Source organism: Homo sapiens, chromosome 11 (genome assembly GCF_000001405.40).
Source record: "Homo sapiens chromosome 11, GRCh38.p14 Primary Assembly".
Classification (NCBI taxonomy): Eukaryota; Metazoa; Chordata; class Mammalia; order Primates; family Hominidae; genus Homo; species Homo sapiens.
Window position 1 is genome coordinate 128,515,643 of NC_000011.10, and position 27,327 is coordinate 128,542,969.

General features: G+C 41.5%; 1 protein-coding gene, 2 long non-coding RNA genes and 1 other non-coding gene across 12 annotated transcripts in view, besides 6 other annotated features; 3 read left to right on the forward strand and 1 right to left on the reverse strand.

Annotated features, from left to right (window-relative positions):
* The window catches only part of ETS1 (ETS proto-oncogene 1, transcription factor), a 128,794-nt gene that overhangs the window by 56,878 nt on the left and 44,589 nt on the right, over positions 1–27,327 (reverse strand). For 4 of the 9 annotated variants that reach the window (NM_001162422.2, NM_001330451.2, NM_005238.4 and 1 more), the window contains exon 1: positions 6,271–6,668. The exons of the other annotated variants lie outside the window; for them this stretch is intronic. In NM_001162422.2, coding sequence (NP_001155894.1) covers positions 6,271–6,352 — 82 coding nt within the window. In that variant the 5' untranslated portion in view covers positions 6,353–6,668. Of the gene's footprint in view, positions 1–6,270; positions 6,669–27,327 lie in introns of those variants that run through there. 9 annotated transcript variants of the gene reach the window in all.
* Positions 6,418–7,078: a transcriptional cis regulatory region, noted in NCBI's record as "chr11:128391955-128392615 region (GRCh37/hg19 assembly coordinates) targeted for CRISPR interference". NCBI's record gives its function as "positively regulates ETS1 gene expression in Jurkat T cells {active_cell/tissue: Jurkat}" and the evidence as "EXISTENCE:mutant phenotype evidence [ECO:0000015][PMID:33828297]".
* Positions 6,418–7,826: a transcriptional cis regulatory region, noted in NCBI's record as "chr11:128391955-128393363 region (GRCh37/hg19 assembly coordinates) targeted for CRISPR interference". NCBI's record gives its function as "positively regulates ETS1 gene expression in GM12878 lymphoblastoid cells {active_cell/tissue: GM12878}" and the evidence as "EXISTENCE:mutant phenotype evidence [ECO:0000015][PMID:33828297]".
* Positions 6,473–7,162: a silencer, noted in NCBI's record as "silent region_4054". NCBI's record gives its function as "represses an Ori minimal core promoter by ATAC-STARR-seq in GM12878 lymphoblastoid cells {active_cell/tissue: GM12878}" and the evidence as "EXISTENCE:reporter gene assay evidence [ECO:0000049][PMID:35858748]".
* MIR6090 (microRNA 6090) lies at positions 6,748–6,807 on the forward strand. The gene has a single exon (NR_106738.1). It is a non-coding gene; the product is annotated as a microRNA 6090 (primary transcript).
* On the forward strand, positions 10,500–14,741 carry ETS1-AS1 (ETS1 antisense RNA 1). The gene is made up of 4 exons (NR_120581.1): positions 10,500–10,673; positions 10,891–11,776; positions 13,369–13,443; positions 14,496–14,741. It is a non-coding gene; the product is annotated as an ETS1 antisense RNA 1 (long non-coding RNA).
* On the forward strand, positions 14,747–17,408 carry LOC124902790 (uncharacterized). Its single transcript, XR_007062949.1, has 3 exons — positions 14,747–14,832; positions 15,194–15,284; positions 17,321–17,408. It is a non-coding gene; the product is annotated as an uncharacterized LOC124902790 (long non-coding RNA).
* Positions 16,200–16,897: an enhancer, noted in NCBI's record as "NANOG-H3K4me1 hESC enhancer chr11:128401737-128402434 (GRCh37/hg19 assembly coordinates)". NCBI's record gives its function as "activates a minimal SCP1, AML or CMV promoter by ChIP-STARR-seq in naive H9 embryonic stem cells {active_cell/tissue: H9 hESC(naive)}" and the evidence as "EXISTENCE:reporter gene assay evidence [ECO:0000049][PMID:30033119]".
* Positions 16,898–17,595: an enhancer, noted in NCBI's record as "OCT4-NANOG-H3K4me1 hESC enhancer chr11:128402435-128403132 (GRCh37/hg19 assembly coordinates)". NCBI's record gives its function as "activates a minimal SCP1, AML or CMV promoter by ChIP-STARR-seq in naive and primed H9 embryonic stem cells {active_cell/tissue: H9 hESC(naive and primed)}" and the evidence as "EXISTENCE:reporter gene assay evidence [ECO:0000049][PMID:30033119]".
* Positions 17,765–18,266: an enhancer, noted in NCBI's record as "NANOG hESC enhancer chr11:128403302-128403803 (GRCh37/hg19 assembly coordinates)". NCBI's record gives its function as "activates a minimal SCP1, AML or CMV promoter by ChIP-STARR-seq in naive H9 embryonic stem cells {active_cell/tissue: H9 hESC(naive)}" and the evidence as "EXISTENCE:reporter gene assay evidence [ECO:0000049][PMID:30033119]".

The following is a 27,327-nucleotide window of genomic DNA, read 5'->3' on the forward strand; positions in this document are numbered from 1 at the left end:
ATTCTGATGCAATTATTAATAGTGCCCCTTTACACTCTCAAAGGTATCCCAGTTTGGGTGGTAAATTATACGATTTTCTATCTCTACACCATTATGATCTGAAGTCCAACAGCCTTAAAATTTCTAATATTACTTTGGGTCTAAAAGCACTATCTGGGTCAATATTCCACAACTCTTAGAGACAGTACTAAATGCTACAAGAAAGAACAATTGAGAAAAGTGGAAGGGGCAGTAATAAGCCACATTTGAAGTGTCAAGTGACAGGCTTGCACCCAAGCAGTAGACACTGGAAAGCACCTGGGAAATATGACAGCGTTGGCCAAGTGATCAATAAAATATTTACGGCTTGAATAGCAATATTTTGAGCGTGTCTGTTAAGCATGGCTCTCTGCCAATGAAACCAGACCTACCACAATCCACCCTGCAGACCTATGTCTTTCTGTATCTGCATGGAGATTATACATTATACAATCAGAAGGAAAAGGGGGTGCAGATAGGCGAAGGCTTCAGAAAAGCAGCCAAGTAGAAATAGCCTGTTTATGCAATTTGGAAAACATCCACTGAAGTTTTGAAAAAGATATCATCAACCCGACAGAAAAAATAAAGCAGAAAGTAGCTAGAGACACATGACAAGTAAAAATGATAGATTTGGGAATAGCCTTGACATTCCTAACCCTGAGTTAAGAACAGCTTAACAGCTGTGAGCGAAGGGTAGACCTAGAATACTGCAAACATAGAGGCAAATGCTATCAGAGGTTCCTTGTGAGCAGGAAAATGGAGCCAAGGTTTTCATTAAGGAGCAGCTAAATAAAAACACGGAGATGATGTTGTTCATATACAAATTCCTCTCTGCGGTGACAGTGTGGGCCCAAGCATACTAACTCTTCGGGAAAATGCTCCCCATAATGCAGTAATAAAGAAACCAATGCCTTAACCTTAAACAAGTGGCAGGGGAGTGTGCCTGTGTGTGAGCCATGGGCTGGGACAGCTGGCAGGTCTGCAGGTAGACACCTGGGGCTGTCTTGTGCCAGGACAACTCCAGACCATGTGCCCTGACACATGGAATGGACTTTTTTAAAAAAAACTAAATTTTAGGGGAAAAAACGAAATTTATATGAGGCATAGGCAGCAAATGCAACTCAACTATCTATGGCCTCTCTGCAAGCAGGATAATTAAATTTTAACTGCCTTAAGAAAATGAACTAGTTTGCCAAGCTATGTCTCATCATCCTGATTATGAGAGATTCAATGCACAGCAACATCAGTGATGAAGGGGAAGAAATGGGCAGAATCTGGAGGCTCAGCGAAGGACTGACCTTGGAGGTGAACATAATCACCTTCCTACCTGTGAGAGAGCCAAGGCCATATGGAAGACGTTGCAAAAACAAGAATCCTGGTTCTCTGCCTTTCATTCTGAGGTAAGCATTGCTGGAACTTTCAAACATCTTTCTAAAGCAACACATCTGGACTGCCAGGCCTGGGGACAACCCACAGGATGGACCCTTTCCCCAAGCCGTATGAAGCACTGAGCTAACAATGAGGCCACCTGATTCAGCTCAGGGGGCTCTTGCAGAGATAGCAGGGAGCCACTGTACCTCCTGAACCCCCAAAGCACCGACCAGCATTGCCTTCTCACCTGCCTGTGTTCTAATTTCCAGAGTTTTTGAGAATAACTCAAAATTTTAGGTATAAAATGCCTACAACATCTCATCAGTTTCTAAATTTCTAGAGTGTGGCCTTAGGCCAAGTATGCATCTCTCAGAAACTCATTTTCCTCATCTGAAAAATGGAGAAAATAATACTTCCACCACACCTCAGAGTAAGTGTGAAGCATAAAAGTGCTCTTTTATCTGGCTGTGCCCAGCACACAATGCAGGCTCGATGTGTGCTTCAGAAATATCCCAACAACTTTTGAATGACAAGAACCTACCACCTTCAATGCAAGCTCATGGAATTCCACCACAGCCATGGATTATTCATTACACAAACCAGAGAGACATCTGTAATTACACTGTCACTGTAACCATTGCAGAGTTATCTGCTGTATTCTGAAACAGGGAGACTCTCCTGAAAAATCCTGACCTACACTAACCAGCTCTCAGTTTGCAGAGATTTGATGGAGCCCAGAGAGACCTGGGCTCCGGGAGGTTGACCACGAGCTGGTTTGTCTCCTGGAGGGAGGCGATGCTCCTACAGGGTGGTCTGGCCTCTTTAAGAGAAAAAAAAAGTTACACAGACAAAAAAACAGCAACACAAACCAACCAAAAATGCCAGGAATGCAAGCTCTGCCAACCAAATAAATAAATAAAATAGGAGATGCTTTATAATAACTGGACATGATGCATTTCTCAGCCCTGCATAATTGAAAACTTGACTTTTCCATCAACCCTGCAAATGTTCCCCTTGCCTCTAGACTTGGTAGCCTTCCTGCTCTGAGGTAACAATGACAATCTCCATCACCCAAAGTAACTGGCAACCCCCTCCCTGTGCCTCCAACAGTGAGAGCTGGACTTCAAGACACTCTCTGAAAGTTACCTCTCACTATTTGCTCCCTGGAGAACAGAATGAAGTTTCACGGGCATGGGATCTCAGCTAAGCAGGTGAAAAGGTCCTCCTTAACTTTACTCTTCTTTCCCTCTAAAATAATAGATTATCAGGAGGTACATAACACAGCCACCTTATCTTCTAACAAACATTCAAGGGCCTCTGAAAATTCTACACTGATCAGGATCATTTTTTGTTGACTTGCTCTGTAGTTAACTGCTAAATAGTATTTATTATGGATCAGGCACTGTTTTAAGATTTTGCACATATTCATAGATTTAATCCTGATATTCATCCTATGAAGTAGAATGATTGTACTCATTTTATAGATGCAGAAGCTGGAGCACAGAGAGATTAAGTCATTTGTCCAAAGTCACACAGCTGCTAAGTGGCCGAGCTGAGATTCAAATCCAGACAGGCTGGCTCCAGAGTCTCTGCTCTGAACCATAGAGCTCTTTAGTCTCTAATGGAGTATGGTCGGCGGGGATCTGGGAGCACAGTGAGCAAGTGATCTAATAGACTGGGCAGCTCTGCCCTTCTTTCTTGTCTACACTGATGAAGAAACAAAGACTGACCAAGCTGAGCAAGGACAAAGCTTCTTCCTATCTCTAAGTATAACGCATGTTCCCGATGGATGTACACCCTCTGCTGAGGGCGGGTGGGGTGAGAGGCTGATCCTTTTATTCTTATAGAACAGCAAGTATCCAGGATTAGAGCTCCTGCTCTTATCTGGACATTAAGCTCACCTCACCAAGAAGGTAGAGCAGAGTGTTGAAGGAAAGGAAAAATTAAGTGGCTTGGGAATGTGTTGGCTTTGGCACCTGGCCCCTTCACAGCAGGCTCCACCAGGAGAGAACCAGGAGTGAACCCAATGGCTATATTTGTTTTTAAGCTATTTAAGATCCTTGCAATCACACTGTTGCAATCAAATAGCATATCCCACCTTACTCTTACACTTGCAAGGAAAAGTCAATTCTACTGTTATTTCAGAGTATATGTTAATTTAGCACTTAACGCTGTCAAACTCCTGTGAAGTCTCAAAATAGAATAAAAGTGCATAAAGGTTCTTGGTCAGGTCCTAGCCAGGAAAACAAATAATCCAGGTCTTGCGGCTCCTGTTTGGACACCCCACTTTCTTACTGCCTCTCTTTGGCACTCATGAATTTGGGAGGGGGTGGGGAGAAAATTCTGGTTTAATCATTTAAGCCAGATAAGATCCCACACTAGCTGTCTCCACACATAAGAAACTAAGCAACCCAAAGAAATCATTCTGACAAATATTTAAGTCACAGCTGTGGATAAAAAGCTACGCTGTGAGAAGTTAAACTTTAAACACATGTCCTATATGGTCTGATGGGCAAGGCAAATCCGCACTTAGCCAATGTCTTGTCCTTCCACTAACAAAAGCAGACAGCCCTGGCCAGAAACACCGTTTCTCCCATCCTTGCTTTGCACCTGCAAGTTAAGTCTCAGCTGAGGTTTCTTTGCTGAGCTTTTGGAAGGTATCTTGCAACATTACTCAAAGCAATATACATTGCGAAGTTAGAAACAGGAATTGATTGTACTTCAGCCACTGGCTCACTACATATTTTTATGTCAATTATTTACCTTTCCTGTGACTCTATTTTCCTCTCTGAGGTATGGGCATAATGTTCGCATATAAGCAACTAAAGGTCCAGAAAAAAAAAAGTTGATTATAGTCTATATATTTTTTCAAGTTTTTGTCTTTATTTTTTCCAAGATAATAAATAATGGTGCTAGAAATCAAACCTCTTTACAATGAATGGCAGAAGACTGCCCAATTTCTTTGGCCAGTTGAAATTTTGTTGTATCGAAGTTCACATACAAAAGATGACCAATGGCTTGGAAATCTTTTTTGAAAAAGAAAGCCATTGCAAATATGCTTATTATAATGGACGCTGACTGTAGCGTTAGGCCTTATTGTTCCCATTTTACAGAATAGAAAGCTAAAGAAAGTTACTTGCCCAGAGCTTATTTTTAATCAGTAACTGAAATGACGGCACCATATACATTGTCTCTAATATTTAATATTAAATTACCAAAAAAATTGCCTCAGCTGTTCACTGTGATCTGAAACATGTGTTGCCAGGGCTCTTTTTCATTCCCAGGATGAAAGATCCCTTGTAGGTATGTGGACTGACATATCGACACGATATTTCCCAGATGACCAAATCTGTCTCTTCCCCCATAAACACCCATAACAACACATATAAACAAGCTGTTCTTAAGGAAAGGACCTATTAGTTGAGTTTATATCTTTGATGTGAACTATCTTTTCACTTCTATATATGGTTTCAATCAACTGACAAACAGAACTCATTCTAGCTTCCTCGAACCCCCAAACACAACCATCATAGAAACAGCATTTCTGAATTGTAGGCCTAAGTGCCTTAAATGTCTCCATGGTTCCAGCTGCGCTCTCAGCATTGCTCCCACCACCATCATCCTTGCGAGGAGACAAAATCTCAGCCTTCTGTGCACAGCAGCCCTGGAGCTGAATGTCAGGGGACCCAGAGGGAGGGGACGTGACCTACATGTCTTTATTAATATTTCTGAAGGACCTCAGAATGACAAAACATCAGTATGGTTGTGCTGAAAGTTTAAGCAGCGTAAGAAAGGGTTAAAGTAAGCAATAAATTATGGCAGAGGCAAAGAAGTGTTAACCACAGGGGGCAGCAACTAAACTTATTGATAATCAGATACAACAGAGGAGCCTGTTCTTGAAATTAATTATTTTCCAGGGTGCACTGCCTTCTCCCTAGATCTTTCTATATACTTTCACCTCCAAAATCACTCATCTCTAAGGATAGCTGGCAGTGCCTTATCCTAAAAGAAAGCATCTTTCCCTCTCAAACTACATTTGTTTCAGAAATTCTGTAAGGCCAGACTCTCTTAAGTTGCTTAGCACCAATATTTGTGTCAAAGACAAAAAAAAAAAAAATTACTTCCTATCCTTCTCTTCTTCAAATGCATATAAATGAAAGAGTTGGACAACACCATGTACCAAAGACACAAAGTCACATTTGGGTGTTTGATGCTTTCCTTCCAACGGACCTTTGGTACCAGAAGAAAAATTTATGGCAGATTAGAAACATGGGTAAAGTAAGTAACCTACATGAATAGGGTCGGACGTTTCTCAAAGTTAAGAGGATAATTTCAATTCTCCTCCGATCTCCTTACCCTCAACCCAGAAAAGAGGGGCAAGGCATGTGACAGGGACGCTTGGGGAGGCAAGACCTTATTTGAAAATCTGCCTGAAGGCCAACCCGTTAGACTGCCCGGGGCCCTCCACCCAGCCTCAGTTCTATGGGGGACGTGGAGTCAGGCGATGATGTCCTCTGAGGCAGCGTCCATCTCCCCTTAACATTAAGGAATAAGGCCAGAGGGTTCTCGCTCATTTGGGAAAATAAAAAAAGCAGGAATGGGGCGCTGGAAATTCTATAAGCTTTTCCCCACCACTCACAAAAACACAGCTGTGAAAATAAATACCACCCCCCAAACCAAGGGTCTAGGGCCACCAACAGTCCTCCTCCTCCTCCTCCTCCTCCTTCTCCTCCTCGTCCTCCAGATCCAGCTGCCAACAGCATCCCCCGCTCCTGAAGAAATGCACCGCCCAGAAGGGAACGGCGAAAGGGGGAAGAAGTCCAGGGGACCCCCGGCCTCTGGCCGAGAGCTTGGGTGGGGGCCTCGGCCGTCGCCACTCACCCGGGGAGGGGAAAAGCTCCAGATCGACTTTTTCCGTCTTGATGATGGTGAGAGTCGGCTTGAGATCGACGGCCGCCTTCATGGTGCCAGGAGTGGGGGACGTACGGGATGGTAGCAAGTTTGCAGTTACTGTTGTTTTTCTTTTTAATGAGGATTAGTAACAGGGGGAAGGGGACGGGGGAAATCCGACTTTCTTCCCAAAAATCTCAAATTCCCGCTGCCTTTCTTTCCCCCGCGCCCGGACGGTGCGCGCCCGGCACTCCAGGGGAAGTTGGCACTTTGCGGCGAAGTGAGCGCGCTCGGGTCCCAGCCTCGCCCGCGCCGCGCCCGCTCCTCCTGCCCGGCCCTCGCCCGCTCCCTCCTCTCCGCCGGCGGCTGCCTCGTTCGCTCTCGATCTCCCGGCCGCTCTCCCTCCCTCTCGCCCTCCCGCGCTCTCCCCTCCTCTTTAGGGCGTTTCTCGCGGCGCCGCGTCTCGGCCGCTGGGTCCGCGCGCCCTGGGCCGGGCGATGTCCGCTTGGGGGAGCGAGGGGCGGGGCGTCGGGGCAGGGCGGGGAGCCGGGGGCGGGGCCGAGCACCGCGGCCAATCTCCGCCCGCGGCCCAAAGCGAAAGGAAGGGCTGGCGAGCGCGGGGCCGGGCCGCGACCGCGGAGGAGCAGTGCGTGGAGCCCCGGGCCTCGGAGCCCAGGCAGGGGCGGGAAGGGCCGGGAGCGGGTGTGCAGGCTGGGTGCACAGGCCGCCTCCACCGTTTCGGGAAAGTCCGTCTGATTCTCCACGCATTCTTGAGGGCTTGGTCACCCGCTCTCGCCCCCTCCCAGTAGCAGCATAGTTTTCCAAGTGCGTGTACATCATTCATTCACAAAGACTGACACACAGGACGTGAGGCATGTGGATGAAGGCGAGCGTGCAGGCAGGCGCAGGGGATTCGTGAGCCCGTGTCCTCAAAGGGCTTTAGGAGTATTGGACTCCAGCCGGATCTTGAGTCAGGGCGTGTGTTTCTGAAGGAGGCTTCAGTTTTTCAGAGCCCACCCATGTAATGCTCCTGCGTTGGCAGGGGAGTCCAGAACGGGACCCCAAACTAGAACCCAGCCATGAGCTTCCGTAAGCTTCCAATTTACCTCCAGCAGTGGTTGGGTTGAAGGGGAAGTTATGATTTATTTCTAATTATTCTGTTCCTCTAATTATGTCACCATTGGCCAAAGCTTTGTCTTTCCTTTCACAGACTCTCCTCTTTTAGATAAAACTAACAACCCTCCCACGACCGCCACCAAAAAAGTGATGCAGAGGCTCTGTGGTTTTGAATTTCTGGAGTACATCATTGGCAGCCATGACAGAATCACAATGCACAGTTTCTGTTCCATTTGGGAACCCCCAACACTAGAGATAAAACAAAATGAACCCGAATAATTCATGGTTTGCCACTAATACATTGGTTGTAATAGAGATAGTTTGTCCTAATTAACAAATCAACCAGTACATGTATATATCTAAATACATAGCTAGAACCAGGCACTGAGCTCCATCTTTGATTAACAGAAAGATTAAACATAAATCTTCCTGAGCAATCTCAGAGAAAGCTATTTTTAATGTTTCCTGATTTCTAAGCACATTTGAACTCCCAGCATTTGACTGTAACTGTAACCTCTGCCTCTGGTAAGTTTTGACACACAGGCTTACCTTCATCTAATCCCAGTTTTGTGCCCTTGAAGCCTTAGTAATTTGCAGATTTCCCACAGCAAATCGGGGAGGAAGCCAGGAACAGAAAAATCTGTGGCTCCTGGTCTAAACTCCAGATTAAATCCCTCCTTAGTGACCAGAGGAAAATATTTGTATGTGATAGTCCTAATTTTTGAAAGAACAAAGACTGTTGCAATCCAGCTGTGTTTCCACAAGGTATGAGAAAACAATGCTGGCCTCCAGATGACAAGAACAGACCCTTCTGGTCCTGGGAAAAGCCTAGAGAAACAGCTGATGAATGAATTGTACATTTACACGTCCAAATGAACCACAAAAAAAAAAAGGTTCTTGAATCAATTCTGCCTTACTCACTATGAATTCATCAGGAGAAGAAGTGAACAAATCTAGAGTTGCTTTGGGGAATTTTGTTTTGTTGATGTTGTATTGAGAAAATGTTGGCATTTTTTAATCCAAGTGTGAGTACTTCTCTATTTTCAAATGCAGATTCCTCAGAGCAACTCCTTTCTCTCTTCCCCAGTTTGCTCCTCAACTTTCTTCCCCAGACTAGCCTAAACACTGCTGCTAACATCCACCCAAATTAGATACTAAAAAAGCCCACCATGATTAAACTGTAAACACTTTCCACTCTAGCAATGAGGAAAATTATTCTTTCTAATTCTTCCATAGTGACAACTCAGATAGTCAATCATCCGTTTCCTAATCCAGTCCTGAAGCACAGAAACAAAATGAGTGAATGTCCAAATCAAGGAATAGGGTTGCGTAAAGCAGCAGTTTGGAGAGATAGCCAGGCGCCACCACAGGCTGCCAGGAAAGTTACCTCCAGATGATATTAATTATGAATATTTATGCCATCAGAAGTTATGCATCGAACCCTGGATTTGGATGAAGAGCACTAATAAGGTCATGTTAAAATATTTTTTACATATTTAAGATATAATAATCTGATCAGGTCTGCCAGGGTCATGTTTCATTAATCTAATCAATGTTGATAAATGAAATTTTTATTCATTCTCTTTAGGACACAAGTAGATTTTTCTAAATGTTCATATGGACTTTAAATGATATTTCTATGTTATCATACGCTAAAACATTGATGCCTAGCCTAGTGCCTAAGACATTACAGAGCTCAATAAATATGTGTTGAATGATGAACTATCAACTTTTTGGTCACTATGGGCTTCCTAATTCAATGATTAAGTGAGTTTGATATGCTCTGGCTTGTGAAGATGAACTAAAAAGTGTCAGAGGCTGTGCCCTTTTCCCTTCATAGTAGAGCAGAACCTCTATCCCCAGCACTCACGTCCACTCGGTTACATGTATGCCTCAGTGTCCCCACCAGCCAAACAACAGCAGCCAAGCGTTGCCTTTCATCCACTTGGGCAAGATACTTCAATACCATATCTGGTTTTTAAGGCACTCAGGAAAAAAAAAAATCAATCAAATAAATACTTCTGTGCTTGTGCTTGTACTGCAGCAGTCTGTTCCTCCTGCATTTGGGAAAAAACAGAATTGTATTTTTAAGCATTCCTTAGACTTCGGCTAATTATATCCTACCAAGTGCTGAATTGCCTTACACTAGGAACGTGAAGTCAATAAGGGCCAAGAAAAGTCCGCAGGAGTTGGGGAACAGAAGAGTGGAGCTAGACAATAATATTAAGAAAATAGTCACCTTCATACAGGAATTCCTCAAGCACATGGAGTATGTAAAAAGCATACTTTCTTTTTTATTTATACTCCTCCCTCAACTCCACCCCAACTTCAATAAAAAAGAAATATAAATATACACTTAATGTTGAACAATCATGGAAGACAGACTTTCCCTCTCCAGAAGTGTCCTAGCATGTTATCTACTCCTGAGTCTTGAACTTCAACAAAACAAAGAATCTCTGAGTTTTGAGCTAAAATATGCTTTACTGAAGGTAGGTACAAAAACATTCAGACCACTAACGGCTGATCCAGAACCAGTTTATGACTCACAGATGTTGATTTACTGGTATAAATGTAAGATTTAGAAAAAAAAAAAAAAAAAAAAAAGCCCTCAATTAACAACAACCTGTCTGAGCTGCATTTGTGGTCTCATTTTTCTCTGAGAAAAGGCAACAGTCTCTGTCATACACAGAAACAAGCTTTGAAAGCTTACTTCTAAGGCAAGTGGTTTCTATGTGAGAAGTTTAGTCATTAAAAGTCACACTAGGGAAGAAAAATGCCTGGCACTTCAATATCTACATTATCAAGCAGCAATAAAATGGAAAATTAGAGATAGGAAGGAAAATTAAAATAACTCTCTTAATTAAACTTGGATGCCAAAAAGCCTTAGGGTCAGTTAAGGGACCCAAGCCAGGGGACTCAGATGGTACTGTTGCTGACTGCAGGCTGGCTCTGTGACCTCACCAAAGCCACTTAACCTTTTTGTGTCACAACCTCATCTCTGTTTCAGGGAATAAAATCAGCCCTAGCTCTCCCTAGAATGGAACACAGACTCATTGGCTATTGTTTAGAAGGCACAATAAACAATGAGGGTAGGAGGAGCTGCAGTCAGGAGGGAAGAAGGGAGGGTGGGGTGGGGTTGGGGGAGAGGGGAGGACTTGGGAGCCTGTTTGCCCTGGAAAGCTCAATATAAGAAAACAAAGAGGATAGTAGTGTGGGCTTTGGAATAAGACTCAGGTTCAAATTCTTACTCTACCAACTAGCCAGCTGAATTGCCACAGGTAAGTCATTTAAACAATCCCGAACCTCAGTTCCTCCATGTTTCAACTAGGGATAATAGCAGCACACACCTTTTAAGGCTATTTGAATGATTAAATGAGATAATGTATGCAAAGAATTTAGCACAGTGTCTAGGTGAGAATTAGTATTTGATTATTGTTATTAAGATCTAGTATACGGTAGAATATGTGGGAAATCACATTAAATGTCTGTCTACAGCCATCTCTTTGCAGAATAGCTTGGATGCTCAATTTTCCTGAACGATCTCCAGCGAGAGATAGAACAACTATCACCACATTTCATTTAAAAATCTCTTCAAGACCCTTCCTCAGTTCTTAAACTGGCAACCTGCCCAGCATCAGCCTCACTTGAGAAATTCGAGAACTACCTGATTGGAGAAGAGAACTAGATTTATATTTGTTTTGAGTCACAGAAAAGTGACAGTTTAAATTCTGAAAGAAGATCACATTTGTAGTGCCTCTTTGGAGACAAAACCTTAGGTCTTGGATTTGTCACATGTTAGAGCTCAATGGGAGTTTATCAGTGCTCTCCAAGTCCAGCACTCCTATTTACCAGAGGTGAAAAATGAGTGTGAGTGAGGAAATTATTATTTCCAGGGCCACACAATCTAAAAAAGTCAGTGTCAGTACTAGAACCAGATGCCCTGATAGCAGTTCTCTCCCTGGCATCTCCTTGCATTTACTTTGCATTTCACTTTGGCAGGAGAAGTACCAGACACCCTTGAGACACAAGACAGGATACAATGGACATGGGAGTAGATAGATGAGCAGACTCAATTTCTAGAAATCCAACTTCTCTACACTGGATGTATTGTCTTTGGGCAAATACATTGCAGGATAACCACACTATGGTTCCCTGTGGGAGACAGCTTGGCATGGGCTGTCAGGAGAGAAAGGGCCTGGGTTGGCTCTATTGCTGTCTGCAGTTTCTTTAGACTATAATTATGAACCATTCAACTGCATCTGCAGCCCCAACAATGTGGGGTGGATTGGCCTAATCCACAGACCAAGCGACATTTTAAAATCCAGCAGTTTAGACACGTATTCCTCTTGCAGCAAATCAAACATGGCTCAGACAGGAAGAGGTAAGGAGCTGCCCAAGGTTAGAGGGTTCTGAGGTCTCATCCACACTCAGTGTTGTGTGCTTCCCTGAAGCAGGCTGAGCATGTTGCCTGGAATTGCTGCAAATGCAGAATGCAGGCTACTCTGTGAGCCTTTGGGGATCATGTAATTGGGATTCCAATTTAAATTGTCCTGAATTGGACTCTTGAGGAGGTAGAGGGATAATGGCAATAGCACAGATGGCAAGAGAACCAACATCCTTTAATAATATGAGAGAAGAGGACAGCCAGTCTCCTAGAAGCTCTGCATCCCAGGGCTACAGGATTTCACCCACTGTCCAAGGCTGCAGGTGGTTTCATCCTGGTGGAAGGCTAAGGCCTTCCTCTGATCTTACTCTGCTTTTCTCTTGGGTTACAAAGACAACATCAAACTTCAAAACAGATGTTCTCTGCAGTTGTGGTTTGAATCTTACATTAAGACAATTTCACTGTGGAATCTTTTCCCCTCTCCCCACTACTTTCATTTAAAATGCCAAATCAATTGCCCCAAAAGACTAACATTTACCACCCCAGAGATCAAGAAGCAGAGATAAGTGGAGCACAAAAAGGAGAAATAGCCCTGAAAGGAAAAGGGACGGTGGTACAGGAGGAAGTAGTGGAAGGGAAGTCCTCTGAGAACAATGGAAGTGTAAGTCGAGGACAGAGAAGGGGAGGAGATGAGGAGGTAGAGTCACAGTGATTTTATGTTCTTGTCGTTCTGGGACTTCAGTCCCCAAGATTTCAAAATGCAGTTAAGACCTAGTAAAGTATCCCATACTTTAATTAATTGTCTTGCATGGCCAACAGTCATGGAACTACAGAAAACAGATCAATGGGAGGTCCTCATGCTGGAAGAGATGCAAAGGATCCAGGATAGAATGGAGGTGAAAGGATCTCAGGAGGTCACAGAAGACACAAGGGAAGGTCAAGCTGACAATCTAGGCAGAATATAGAGTGTGTTTCTCAGTCTTTTCCTCACATGGACATTTGCAGTACACAAAGAATTTCCCTCACAGAAGCTGTCACCCCACCCCTGCAAGTTGCCACTTTTCTGCTCAGCTCAAGAGCACACTCCTAGTACATATTTGAATATGCGTGTCAGTCTCCTACACTCTTTAAAGGCAGCAACTGAGGTTCAGTCATTATTACACTCCATGGTGTTTAGCTCAAGGTAGTAAGAGCCCCATAAATTATGTTCATTATTTAATTAATGAACAGTTAACTTCCTAACATCCCCGTAACATTTTTACAGAAAAATGAAGCTCAGATACCAGTTTTGTTTTGCCTAGTTCGGTCTGAAGTGAGACTCAAATTTGCCCAAAGTTTAAGATTAAAGATCCAACCAACTGACTCATTTCTAACTAAAAAGGTCTTCGTAAAGTTTTATTCTGTTCCTCCCATTCCTCCCATCCCCTTAAAGGAGAATGTTGCTAAGATCACAATATTCATTTTACTTTTTATCTAATTTTTTATTCTGAGACTTCATGTAAAAAATGACATTTGGCTCACCACGAAGTAAATCAGTTGTTTGATTGTCAGCCTGGACGTTTTATACATCACGCTATTCATATTCTCAGATGGCTGCTCAGAAGCAGTCTTCAGGAATTTCCGAACTTCGAGTTGAATCTTTTATTTCACTGGCTTCCACAAAGGTAAGATGTACAACTGCTATATACATTATTTGTAAGATAAGGGAAATACATGAAATGAACTCAATTTCCTCCATCTTTATGAGAAAGAATAGACTGTTACATGCTTTATGGTGAGCCAGGGTGCTTACTACAAATCCCTTTCACCTTCTCAAGTTTAATCTGTCAGGACTCCAGAAGCACTGTATTTTGAAATATATCTTCTGGCTATACAGGTGATTCTATATTGAGGAAGGGTATGGGTTGGAAGTAGAAATGGGGGGACATGGGGATGGGCTGAGAGTGAAGATGGGAATGAAAAGGACAGGGAGGATCAAATGGAGCTGCTACAATCTAGCAGGTGGCACAGAAATATAGAAAGCAGCCCTAACCACTTTTGTCGAAGTAGAGTATTGCTCTCTGCACTTTGTTGTTTGTATCTACTAATGGGTAATCAAGATGTTGGAACAGAAAAGGCAGCTGATCTTAAAGCCTAAAAACCAAGGAAATATTGGATTTGGTGAGGGCTCATGATTTCTCCTGAGTTCTGAGGGGGAATCATGAACACACATTATTTTACATCACTTCTTCCAGAACCAGTTCCGTATAAGAGCCCCAAGAAAACATTGATGTGTCACACTAAGAACAGCCTGCTTAGCCAGTAAATATAACATTCTTTGAGTATGTCACTGCAGTCATCCACAAACATTTTACTCAAGAATCTATGCCTATCTTACCTTAGGCATCCTTCAATGAGCAGCATTATAGTGTCATAATGAATTAATATGAATCCTAGCTTCACCAATGCTAACTCTACCAACAGAGGAAGTAAAATGCATAGCACTTTTTAAGTTCCCATGCTGCTTTAAACCTCTTTTCTGGTATGTACTCTCCTGAAAAGGGTGCACAGAATCTGAGTTTCATAAATATGCAGGAACATAAATTCATTAAAACAACTTTAGGGTGTCCAGTGTAATTATTCATATTTAGAATTTACTGAGCATCAAGCATGCCAATGATGTAAAGTTGACAGATTTGAATAAGAAGCTCAAAAAGGGACATGTCAATTTCTCCAGCGTTACAGCTCACATTTGATTCTCAGCTCTTAAGGACCAAAAAGAAATGAAGTCTTCTTTAATTTGCAAGCAGCCAGCTGTGCTCACTCCACATCTTGCATCAGCCCTGTGAAGGAGTCAGAATGTAGTGGATGGTCCTGCCCATGACTCATGAGGTGGAACAGACCCAGCTCACATCTCATCTATCTGGATTGGCTCCCATACAATAAAAATCTTTCTTCCGTTGAGTTGGTGAAAAGAAGAGAAGCAAAATGGGCATGTGTGACGTGTAAGAGGGCGCCATTTAATCAGACAGGCCTGTGAAACACTTTCAAGAGTCCAGGGCTGGCAGTGAGAGGTAATGACAGGTAACGTGCAGAATGAAGAAAGCAGAAAGCATATAGAAGTTGCTTCTTAATGGAAACGTGTTTCATCAGAATGATCAGAAACATGTGTTCTCCCCAGATTGGGAAACCATCTTGAAAGACTTCATCACAAAAAGGCCTTGGGTGGGAAGTACCACAAGGGACCCATCCAGGAGGGGTGGGAGGAGGTGCAGCTGGGTGGGAAGCTGGCAATGGACTGTGAGAGGAAAAAACAAAGGGCAGTCAGCGCTCTCATGGCAGATTCCCAAGAGAGAACCCTTTCCAGGAATTTAAAATTCTGAATAATTGTTGAGAATTTCTAAAAATCAAGAAGATTATAAACTTTTCTTTCAGGGGATTCCACAGCATTGAGAGAGACCAGATGGCTGGCAACAAAATTCCAGATCCAGGAAAGGTCCAGCATCTACATATCCATCCACTTTTAGTGAGCTAATGCTTTCTCCTACAGAGTGTATTTGTCTAATTGAATTGAATTGAATTGAACTGAGGTGTGGAGGTAAAAAGGCTATTGCAAATAAGTGTTCCTGTTTCCAAATAGTCCATACAAAAACCTGCAGTTTCTTGCCAAGCAGAAACTACCAGGCTTTGGTTTCCTCACTATAGAATAAATTTAAACTCTAAAATAACCAGGGAGGCAACATAGTAGAGTGGGTTAAGAGCACAAGCTTGGCAGTAAATAGACGAGAGTTTGAATTTTAGCTTGGCTGCTCTCCAGATGTCAGTCTTTGACCTCAGAAAGCCTCAGTTTCTTCATCTACAGAATGGAGATGCGGAAAGTGCCTAGTTCACAGAGTTGAACTGAGATGAGATGAGATGAATGGGTGCCAAGTGCTTTGCACTGTGCATGATGCAGAATGAAGACTCAGTAACCCTTCACTGCTATTATTGATTTTAAAAATCAGAATTGTGACTTCGGATTTAGTGAGCATAAAATTTTCATGAATGTTAATCCAAACTGTAGTATATAGTATTCTTATGAAGAAATGAGGACACAGTGTCCTATCTTCATGTGCGCTGTTAAAATCATGACATAGTGACAAAGATAAGTTTTGGTCTAGGTATGCAAATCATGCAAATCCTTGACACCATCCCTCTTGGATGAAAGGGGATTAATTCCCACTATATAGATGTGAGATACAATTATGAAAGTTCTAATCATATACTCACAGCTACATTACAAATTAGCAGCAAAGAGAATATGTACCCTCTTGAATTTCTTCCAGTATTGGGTTCTCCACTCTCTGGATTGCACGTTTGATAGCCAATGATTTTTGCAACCTAAACAAAATAAGACCTTCTTAAGCAACTGGCCTCAGCATTTGACTTTCAATCTGGGAAGAATCCCACATGCTATTCAATATGCCCCCATAGCACTCTGCCTAGGTACTTCCCAAACTAGCACCCATTAGGCAGCACCTTACTGCACTCACTTCACAGAAGTCTTTTTCTATGTTATTGCATCTTACATTTTCCTCGGCTGTCTCTTTTCCTGCCAGCCAACAGTTCTTGTTGTTTTTGTTATTTTGTTTTTTGAGACAGGGTCTCGCTCTATCACCCAGGCTGGAGTGTGGTGGCATGAACGGTTTAACTTGTGCTATAAACCTAAACCTCTATCTATCTCTAATTGTGCCATACACATACATTTTAGCTACAGAATTCTGGACCTAGATAGCACTCCCTGCAAGCTTGGACTTGCCACCTGGAATTCAGAAAAAGTATTCTGCTCCCTGGTGTTAACTACCTATGCTGACCAGTTGCCCAAAAGAACCTTAGGGAAAGGTTTCTCTTATTGCCCCTTGGGCCACCAGTCAAACCATCGGTGCTCTTAGGACTGCCCTCTAAAAACACAGAATTTGCCATTTACATCAGCTATGTAATCTGCATTCTGGCACTACCATTGCCTGGCACCCAGCCATTAAGCCTGGCAGCAGAGAACAGTCATAGTCTTCTCGCTAGTTGCCCGCTCCATTTTGGCAAGATGAATGCTGTATCATTGGGAAAGCAGACTTAATTGGTTTTCTGGGGGTGTTTAGTTAAGTCACCCCACCTCAGCTCCAAGTTGATGGAAGTGTCACTTTGCCCTTTCCAACAACCAGAGCAAATAAATGATGGGGACATACTCCAAAATGTACATGGCTGAGTCCTCTTGCTCTCCTTTTTTTTTTTCCCCAGTGACTTTGGGGAGGTTTGGGCAGTGATCCTGCATACACAATACTGTTCTTGTTCTTCTTTTCTCTTACAGAGCAGCCTTGAATAGCTCTGTCTAAAATTATTAGCAGGGGCAGCCCTAGGCTCCAAGAGATCACAGCCCTCATGCTGGGCCTGAACAAAGACCCTGCTTTTTCCCAACAATTAGCCCTGCAAAAAAGGACATCTATCTCCCTCTATTAAAACCACCACGTGCCTTCAAGTCAGCCCATTGTAAAGCTAATTAAATAACACGCCTCTCTCCCCATGCAGGTCTCCTGATTAGCTTTCCTCTGTCAGAAACCTCTGCAAAGAGCCTAGTGATAGACAAGCCAATGTTCCACTTCTCCTTAGCCCCGCTCCCATCGCCAATTAGCCGTCGCCTTTGAAAAGCCATCCTTATCAATGTTGGTGAGTTTGTTCACGCTCCATATCCATCCAAAGCCCAGACGCTAGTCACCTCCACCTTAAAGGAATGGATAAGGTTCATACTGCTTTTAAAATAAATTATTTGGAAAGGCAAAAGTTTTCATCACAGTGTAAAATCTTTGGCCAGCATTCCCCACATCGCAATACACAAGGGCTGCCGCCGCCATTGCAGGAGAGTGTCAGAGAAGGACTTTTCTGAAAGTCAGAGAGCCTGGGCAAGATGCAGCCAAGGTGGCCATTTCTACCAGATTTCTAAAAACAGGATGCAGAAGACCACCCTTTAGGTTAAACTCCCTTAGATACTCCTCACCGCCAAACAGATAAAATCCAAGCACAGTCCAAAAGGCCAAAATTGGTCCTCTTTACCTTTTGACCACACCTCACCTTCTCCCCCACATAGGGACCCTGCTCTCTGACAATCCTGGACTTGTGGCAATCCCTTGAACACACTCTAGTTCTTCACTCTTTTATGCATTTTTACAGGCTTTTTTCCCTTCTGGAAAGCCCTGTTCTACCTGCCCAGCACCTCTGTCAAGACTCAGCAGTAAATCACCTCCCCCATGGTTTCCAAGGCCTTGCTAGATAAAATCAGGCACTTCCTACTCTGTGCTCTCAGCAGCACATATAGGTTTCCAATGGGGCGCTTACGTTACCAAAAATAATCTGAGCCCCTCAAGAACAGCAATCATATTCTACTTAAATTTGAATTTCCAGTTTAAACACAAGGACTTAGTGAATGCTTAATAAGTGTTGGAAGAATAGATAACTGAGTAACTGAGTAAATGAAATGAGTAAGTAAAAGAATGACTAAATGAATGAATAAAATAACCACTTTATACCAAATGTGATCTAAGATGGTACATTCAGGCCTACTTCCAGCTTCGCTACAGATGGTCTTTGTGCATAGTAAAGGGCGTTATTATTTTATGACATGGTTTTCTTTGTTTGAAATTGTCAGATCTCCTACACATGCACACATGTTTACACATGCACTTTTTAAATACAATTTTTTAAATGATAAAAATGGAGGGAGAACAGGCCAGCTATTTTCTAACTCTGCTTAATAGTTCTAGAGCTTAACTTTTCAAACTAGTCTTTGAGGTTTCTAGCTGATTTAATCTTTAGACCATAAAAAATTTCCTTCCAAGTGTTTTTAGGAAGACTCACCAGTCTTCTTGGATGTCCCATACAGATGAGTAGATGACTAGACTATAAAGAAATCCCATATACAATTTAAGTTTTCCATGAAATGCTCATAGACCTCAAAATTAGCAATGAAAACAAGAAAATTTTTTCCTTTTTTAAGAATATTTTATTTTAAGGTTCAGATACACGTGCAAGACATGCAGGTTTGTTACACAGATAAACATATGCCATGGGTGGTTTGCTGCACCTGTCAGCCCATCACCTAGGTATTAAGCCCTGCACATATTAGCTATTTATCCTGATTTTCTCTTTCCCCGTACCCCTCCAACAGGCCCCAGTGTGTGTTGTTCCTCTCCCTGTGTCCACGTGTTCTCATTGTTCAACTCCCACTGATAAGTAAGAACAGACAGTGTTTGGTTTTCTGTTCCTGTGTTAGTTTGCTGAGGAGAATGGCTTCCAGGTCCATCCATGTCCCTACAAAGGACATGATCTTGTTCTTTTTTATAGCTGCATAGTATTCCATGGTGTGTGTGTACCATATTTTCTTTATCCAGTCTATCATTGATGGGCATTTGAGTTGATTTCCTGTCTTTGCTATTGTGAATATTGCTGCAATGAACATACGCGTGCATGTTATCTTTATAATAGAATGACTTATATTTCTTTGGGTATATACCCAGTAATGGGACTGCTGGGTCAAATGGTATTTCTGGTTCTTGATCTTTGAGGAATTGCCACATTGTCTTCCACAATGGTTGAACAAATTCACATTTCCACCAGTAGTGTGAAAGCATTCCTATTTCTCCACAGCCTTGCCAGTATCTGTTGTTTCTTGACTTTTTAATAATCGTCATTCTGACTGGCATGAGATGGTATCTCATTGTGGTTTTGATTTGCATTTATCTAATGATCAGTGATGTTGAGCTTTATGTCATATGTTTGTTGGACACATAAATGTCTTCTTTTGAGAAGTGTCTATTCATGTTCTTTGCCCACTTTTTAATGGGGTTGTTTTGTTTTTCTTGTAAATTCGTTTAAGTTCCTTGTAGATTCTGGATATTAGACCTTTGTCAAATGGATAGAGTGCAAAAATTTTCTCCCATTCTGTAGGTTGTCTGTTCACTCTGATGCTAGTTTCTTTTGCTGTCCAGAAGCTCTTTCATTTAATTAGATTCCATTTGTCAATTTCTGCTTTTGTTGAATTGCTTTTGATGTTTTTGTCATGAAATCTTTGCCCGTGCCTGAATGGTATTGCCTAGATTTTCTTCTAGGGTTTTTATTGGAAAACAAGAAAAATTAAAGGACTTGGCAAAATAGATTTTGAACTCTGCCAAATCCCAAACATTTAAAAACAACCAAAGTCAATGAGTGGGTCTCATCCCTGACACATCAAGTCTTATGGCAAAAATCACTCACTGCCTGATGAATCCTGTGTACCTTCATGTCTATGCATGATGACATTTAGGGCCAGCTCTTTCCTTGCTATTTTACCACCACAATCTCAACTTTTGAAAAGTTGTGTCTTTCTAATATTCATGGGCACCTTCCAGATAGAAAGAGAAATTAAGACACAAAGCAACAGGAAGATTCCATGATCTTGTAGTTAATCAGTAATTGTATCAGTAAGAGTTTGCAACCTCCAACCTGAGATGAAGCAAGCAAACATTGTCATTCATTTGGCAGTCACTTTGTTCTGGCAAGGTTCCTACTTGTTAAAGTGGAATGCTCACTTTATAATGATCATAATGGATTAAAAGCTGTAAAATTAGACTCTGGCTGGCAGTAAGTTCTTTATTACTCTCCCTTACCACAGTGTGCCTCCATTCTCAGATGTTTCCTTAAAGAAGAGTAATCTAAGACCTCTAAATACATAAAAAATAGGATAATAAGTAAAGACAAAGAGACCCTCATTTTTATATAGATTTGTCTCCTCCAGATGCAGCTTGGCATGTATACATGTATACAAAGCAGCCATTGAGAATTAAGCATGTGAAAATCACACCTGTTAATTTGTCAAGGACAGACCAAGTAAACTATAAGGCAGAAATAAAACTGTTTCAACAAAGATAAATGGAAAACATGGTTGAAAAAGAAGAATGATTTGGAATGAATGTCATAGTATTAATCAAATAAAAATATAAGATGCATATAGTCAATATAATTTATTCAAATAGTAAGAAGAGAAGAAATATGTATCATAAATGAACATTATCATGAGATATTGGGTACAAGAATTCAATACATTGGGTAAACAGACTGTAGAGATCTTAAGAGCTTAAGATTTCAGAGAATAGCATACATTCTGTGGTCTAGAAAAAGCTGTTTTCTGATCCAATTGAGACTGTGAGCAATGTTAAGAGGCATAACAGCCAAATCAAGACACACAAGAAGCCTCTCATTAGGAGGAGAAAGAGCTTGGAATTGGTTGAAGGGAGCAGCCGTGTTGACAGTTCATGTCAATACATTCCAGTTAGCAGGTTATTTAAGCAATGACTTCAGGCTAAGCTGGCCTTGTAATTCTGCAAATCAGATCCCATAGAAGAGCAATTAGCAGACATTCATTTCATACTCTCTTCATAAAGTTTGGGTCATTTTAAATTTTTTATGTGTCAAACTTCAGAAGTAAATATGAATACACATCACCTCTTTCCTTTGATTAAAACAATAGGGATGCTTTACCTTATTTAGCATGAAAGATCACAAAATAATTCCAACATCACCTCACAGCACCTCTGAGAAATGCCTAAGAGGTGGGAAAGGATCCCAGCCTCACTGTATGCAGTATCTGTCCAGGGTACAGAGACTCTCTCCAATGTTTTGCACAACTTTGATCCAAGTCAGCTGTGCAAAATACTGAAGATGCATATTAGCTCAACTCTTTCAAATCATTCATGTGTCCAAAATCACTTTCACCTACCAAAGTCCTTAAAATGTGATTTTCTCCTGCCAAGTCTTTAGTCGTCATTTGTTGGTTTTTTTAATTAGACCTTTTATCACTATGTACCATAATTTACCTGAGACATTATTTTCCCACTAACACAGAGTGTGTAGGGGGAGAGGGAGGGAAAGCATGGCATGGTGAATAAAGAGACTATTAATCCACTAATTCCTACTTGTCTCCACTCAGAGTCGGAATAAGCAAAGCTGTCATTGGGAGGTGGATACAGTAGGATCCCAAGTGATGTATCTGCCTGAGTTCAAGTATGAACTGGAGGAGGAATTAAATCGCAGTTGGGAATTAGGGGAAAGGAAAGGAAAGCAAGGGCTCAGCTCCCTACCCCTGGGAACTAAGGAGCAAGGGAAACTGACATGAAATAAACTCCTGCACCCAAAACATTCAAAGTCGGGTGCACACCTTCCTAGCAGCTGCAGCAGGAAAACACTGGGAAACCTACTAAATAAGAGCAGCTGGTCACGGAACATATATTTCTAATTGTGCTTTTTTTTTACCACTTATACGTGTATATTGGAATTCTGTAATAACATGTTCCAATAGAGACTTCAAGACAAATAGGACATAGCATTACAAACACAAAAACAATACATTCTGGGAAATATTCCATTGTTTTAAAGCTATATATCCCAAATTCTTCACCAAAGGCCAAATAAGCACCTACAAGAAGGGAGAAGAAGTAATGAGATGGGGAAGAGGACTTAGAAGATGACTTCAGGAATAATATGTATTGACACCTTCAATATAAGAGGTATTTCCACTTTCCTTGGATTCACAGTATTTATTCCCTCAAATTGAATATATTCATTTTCTTAAAAGTCTTGTATATGGTAAATTCAGTAGATTTGGGATGTTTGCCACACAACTATTAGTGACTTTCTTTGAAACTTACCGAAGAAAATACAAGAAAAGTGAAAAAAAAATTAATGTCTTAAGCAGAAACACTCGCATTAAATGAGATTTAAACAACTGATTAATAAAAGTATGATGAAATTATCCTAGAAAAGTCTACTGACTTATTTTTCCTTCTTAGAGTTCAAACACACAGAAGTAACTTGAAAATTAAATACTTTGATTGTAATTCAGGAGGTAAGGGGGGGCGTTAACCTTCCTATTTAGAGATGAGGAAATTGATAGCCATTTAGCATAACTAGATTTTCAGATCTGCATTCTTCACAAATTGCGCACATAGTGGCTGCTTTATGTTGCTTTTCCTGGTTACTATTATTTCACATAACATGCCCAAGGACCGGTACAGTGTTTCATACCAGGCTACAGAGTCAGGCTGACCTGAGCTCAAATCTGGGGTCTGTCACTCACAAAGAGTGTAACTTTTGGCAAGTTATTTCAACTACATAAATCTCCCTGCCTGAAAAATTTACTTGTCTGTAAAATGGAGTTAATAATTCACAGAATCTTTGGTAAGATTTAAACAGGGTAATGTATGTAAAATATATGGCAGTGCCTGGCTAAAAGTGAAGAATGAATACTGGTAGTTTTATTCAGGTGAAAACACACACACACACACATACACACATACACACACACACACACACACACACACACACACACACCAAACCAGGTTTGAACTCAGGTATCCTCAAAATACTCATGCACTGTAGTGAGCAGTATTGAGGAACCACTTAATACAAATAATTATTTTGCCATAGATTAAGGAGGTAGTTCGTAGGTGACATATGTATTTAAAAATCTCTATCCACGACAGTGGACAGACAATGGAGAAAGAATACTCTTTTAACAAATAATAGGGGAGAACCAGATACACATACGAAAAAGAAAGAAACTAGACCTTTGTGCATAAAAGTTAACTCTAAGTGGATCAGAGACATAAATGTAAGAGCTAAAGCTATAAAGCTCATATAAGAAAAAACAGGATTAAATCTTCATAACCTTGTGTTGGGCAATAATTTCTTAGGTACAATGCTAAAAGCACTAGAAAAACAAAGAAAAAATAGATAAATTGGGCTATATCAAATCTAAAACCTATGGTGCTGCAAATTCTAAACATCCAGAAAGTAAAAAGACAACTCACTTTATGGGAGAAATATTTGTAAATTATATGCCCGATAAGGGCTTGTATTCAGAATATGTAAAGAACTCTTACAACTCAACAATAAAAAGACAACCCAATTTAAAAACGGGCCAAGGATTTTAATAGACATTTCTCCAAAGAAGGTATAAGAATGACTGGTAAACACGTGAGAAAAGCTCAATATCATTAATTATTAAAGAAATGCAAATCAAAACGACAATGAAATACTACTGCTCATTCACCATGAGGATAAATTGGAACCCTCTTACATTGCTAGTAGGAATGTAAAATGAAGCAGCCACTTTCAAAAACAGTTGGGCAGTTCCACAAATAGAGTTACCATACGACCCAGAAATTCTACCCCTGGAGAAATGAAAACATATTCACACAAAAAACTTGTACATTAATGTTAATAGCAGCCTTATTTATAATAACCACAAAGTGAAAAGCACCTAAATGGCCATCAAATTATGGATAAATAAAATGTGCCATGGCCATATAATGGAATATTATTTTGATGATAAAAGGATATACTGATGCCTGCTACAACATGGGTGAAACTTGAAAACATTATGCTTAGTGGCCAGTCACAAAGGTCACATATTATATAACTCTACTTATGAGAATTCCAGAATAGGCAAATTTATAAAGATAGAAATTAGACCAGTAGCTGTTGAGGTGTGGAGACAGGAAGAATGAGAAAGAATGAAGATCGACTGCTAATGGATATAAGATTTCTGTTAAGAAGAATAAAAATGTTGCTGGGCGCAGTGGATCATGCCTGTAATCCCAGCACTTTGGGAGGCCAAGGCGGGCGGATCACCTGAGGTCAGGAGTTGGAGACCAGTCTGACCAACATGGTGAAACCTTGTCTCTATTAAAAACACAAAACATTAGCCAGGTGTGGTGGCAGGCGCCTGTTATCCCAGCTACTCAGGAGTCTGAGACTGGAGAATCACTTCAACCCAGGAGGCGGACGGAGGATGCAGTGAGCGGAGATTGTGCCATTGTACTACTCCAGCCTGGGCAACAAGAGAGAAATTCCATCTCAAAAAAAAAAAAAAAAAAGAAGAAGAAGAAAAATGTTCTAAAATTAAATTGCAATGATAGCTGCACAATACTGTAAATACACTAAACAGAACTGTACACTTTAAATAGGTGAATTGTATAGTATGTGAATTATATCTCAATAAAGCTCACCTCAATAAACCGTTTAAAAAAAAAAGTTGGTTTTCTGGAGGTGAAGGCAAGACAAAAAAAGAGGGAGAATTTCCTATCATCCAGGAAAGCCTGCCCAGTGGGGTCTATGAACATCATCTTAAGACCATATGCTTCACCAAAGTTCAGTGGAAAAATGTCTAACATTTCCATGACCTTCTTTTCTAAACTTCCTAAGTGGCTTAGAGAGAGGCTGCCCGGGAAACTCCAAATGGAATTTAAAAATATTATCTCCTGGCTTTATAAACAGCAAGGAGCACTAATGAAGTGAGGGAGCAGCGGTCCCAGGAATGGGATATTTCATTCAGATTGGGAGCCCCGTGTGGAGTCTAAGCTCATCTCTGAAAGCGGCAGGAAGGCCACGGAGAGGCCAGACCAGGGTGAGGGAGGTGAAAATCAACACAGGAGAGAGAAGAAAGAATAACAACGCTCAAGGATACATAAAGCAGAGCCGGAGTGGCCACTCTTCCAAACACCAGTAAAACAACCCCTTTCCAAATCGAGCTCTGTCCTCATTCTGCCAACTAAGTTTGGATGAATGAGTGCTCCTCAAGGCAAACCCCCTCACCCTCAGTTTCACGTGACTGGGAGGCCTCAGGAGGGTCTCTCCATAATTCTAGTCTCAACAGGACCATCCCTCTCATCATTCCCAGTCCCCTGGTGCTCACCAGCTCTGCAGCTTGGCTGTGTCCGTCTCAGCACGGCAGCCAGGTTGCGTGATGTTCCTTGAGGATGAGACTGAACCACACTTCATAGCCCCAACGCCTCATGAAGAACAAGGGCTTAATAAATATGTGTTGATTAATAGGGGACAAAGTAAAGATGCTCTAATGTCACTGACACCCTAAACCAGTCAGTAACTTGGAATTACCCATGATCTAACTGAGGACCAAGACACCAACCATCCCTCCACTAGCTAGGACAAGTTTGGACAACCAGGATACAAATATTTATCAAATCCTCTGCTCTGTGGCAAGTATTAGGCTAGGCATTGAGGATACAGAAATAAATGGTGAAGTCCTTTTGCCTTAGAATGAGAGGAACCATAACACAAAAAGTCTTCTGAGCTGATCTTTGGGTTTTATTCCAAATTACTGCAAAGTTTGTGTTGTTTTCTTTTGTTTTGTTTTAATTTTTGTTACTTCTTAACCAATCCTTATAATCTTGGGTAGTACCCACAATGATCCTGACAGATTAATTTAATAACCTGGTTTGATTCTCCACAGACCTTAACTGAGTGTCCGTGGCAATTTAGGCACTCTGCTAGGTACTAGAAACATGACAAGGACAAAGCCCCTGACCTCAAGCTGTATATAGTCTCAGAGGAAAGACAAAACAATGATTGCAATATGGTGCAATGATCTCTACAATACAGGTATTCACCAGTATCATGGGAACACAATTGGGGTCTCAACACAGGTATTGATTATAATAAGGGCTCCACACGAGAACAATGTGGAAGATAAAGTCAATGGGACTTGTGACTGAATATGAAAATAGAGTGGCCATCTGCTGCTTTTCTATCTGTAGTCTTTTCCTTCTTTTTCCAGTACAGGACCCCCCATTTTCCTTTAGGAAACTGTCTCTTTTTTACACAGTATAGTTCTGGTGGAACTGCTGATCACAGTACCCCCTACACCTTCTATTCACAGAGGTGGTACATGTCTCACATGGTGAATTAGAATGCCCCAGCCCCATTATTTCATTCATTGCCTTGGGGATGGGCACACAGACCAGGAATTTTATATATAACCATTATGAACAAGGCATTCTTTGATGAGGTCTATGACTATGGACTTCTCTTCTTCCACCAAAGCAGATGTGAGCTAGAATGACAGAAAAGGAAAAGGGGAAGAGGGAGGAGGAAGAGCAGGAAGAGAAGAGGGAGGAAGAGGAGGGTAAAAGAGAGACTTTAGAAGATTATTGGATTCCCTGGAATCACCAGGCTGACTCTTCTACTGGACTTCCCATCTGTTAAGTCAGGAATTTCTTTCTTACACTGAAGCTAGTTTGATTCAGGTTTCTGCCACTTAAAAACAAAAAGATCCTTCCTTAACCAACACAAGTGTTAAGGTATTAAAAAAAAAACAAAACAAAACGGGAGAGGGAGTCAATAACTACCAATTCCTTAGCCTGGTGATTGGTAGCTGATAGTGACCTTCATCAAAACAAGAGAGAAGATAAAGACAGCAACAACCCCTCCACTAGCTACAGAGTTACAGGTTACAGAGTCAAGAGAAAGCAGTGAGCTCAGTTTTAAGTCTGAGGTATCTGTGTGTGACTCAGGTGAACACTTGTCACAAAAAATACCCATGGAACACACCCTCCATGTATTAACCCTTAAGTGATGACACCAAAATGCCTTTCCTCCCTATTATTCTTTGATTTATAAATTTTCTTTAGGCCCAGCGTGGTGGCTCACACCTGTAATCCCAGCACTTTGGGAGGCCGAGATGGGTGGATTACCTGAGGTCAGGAGTT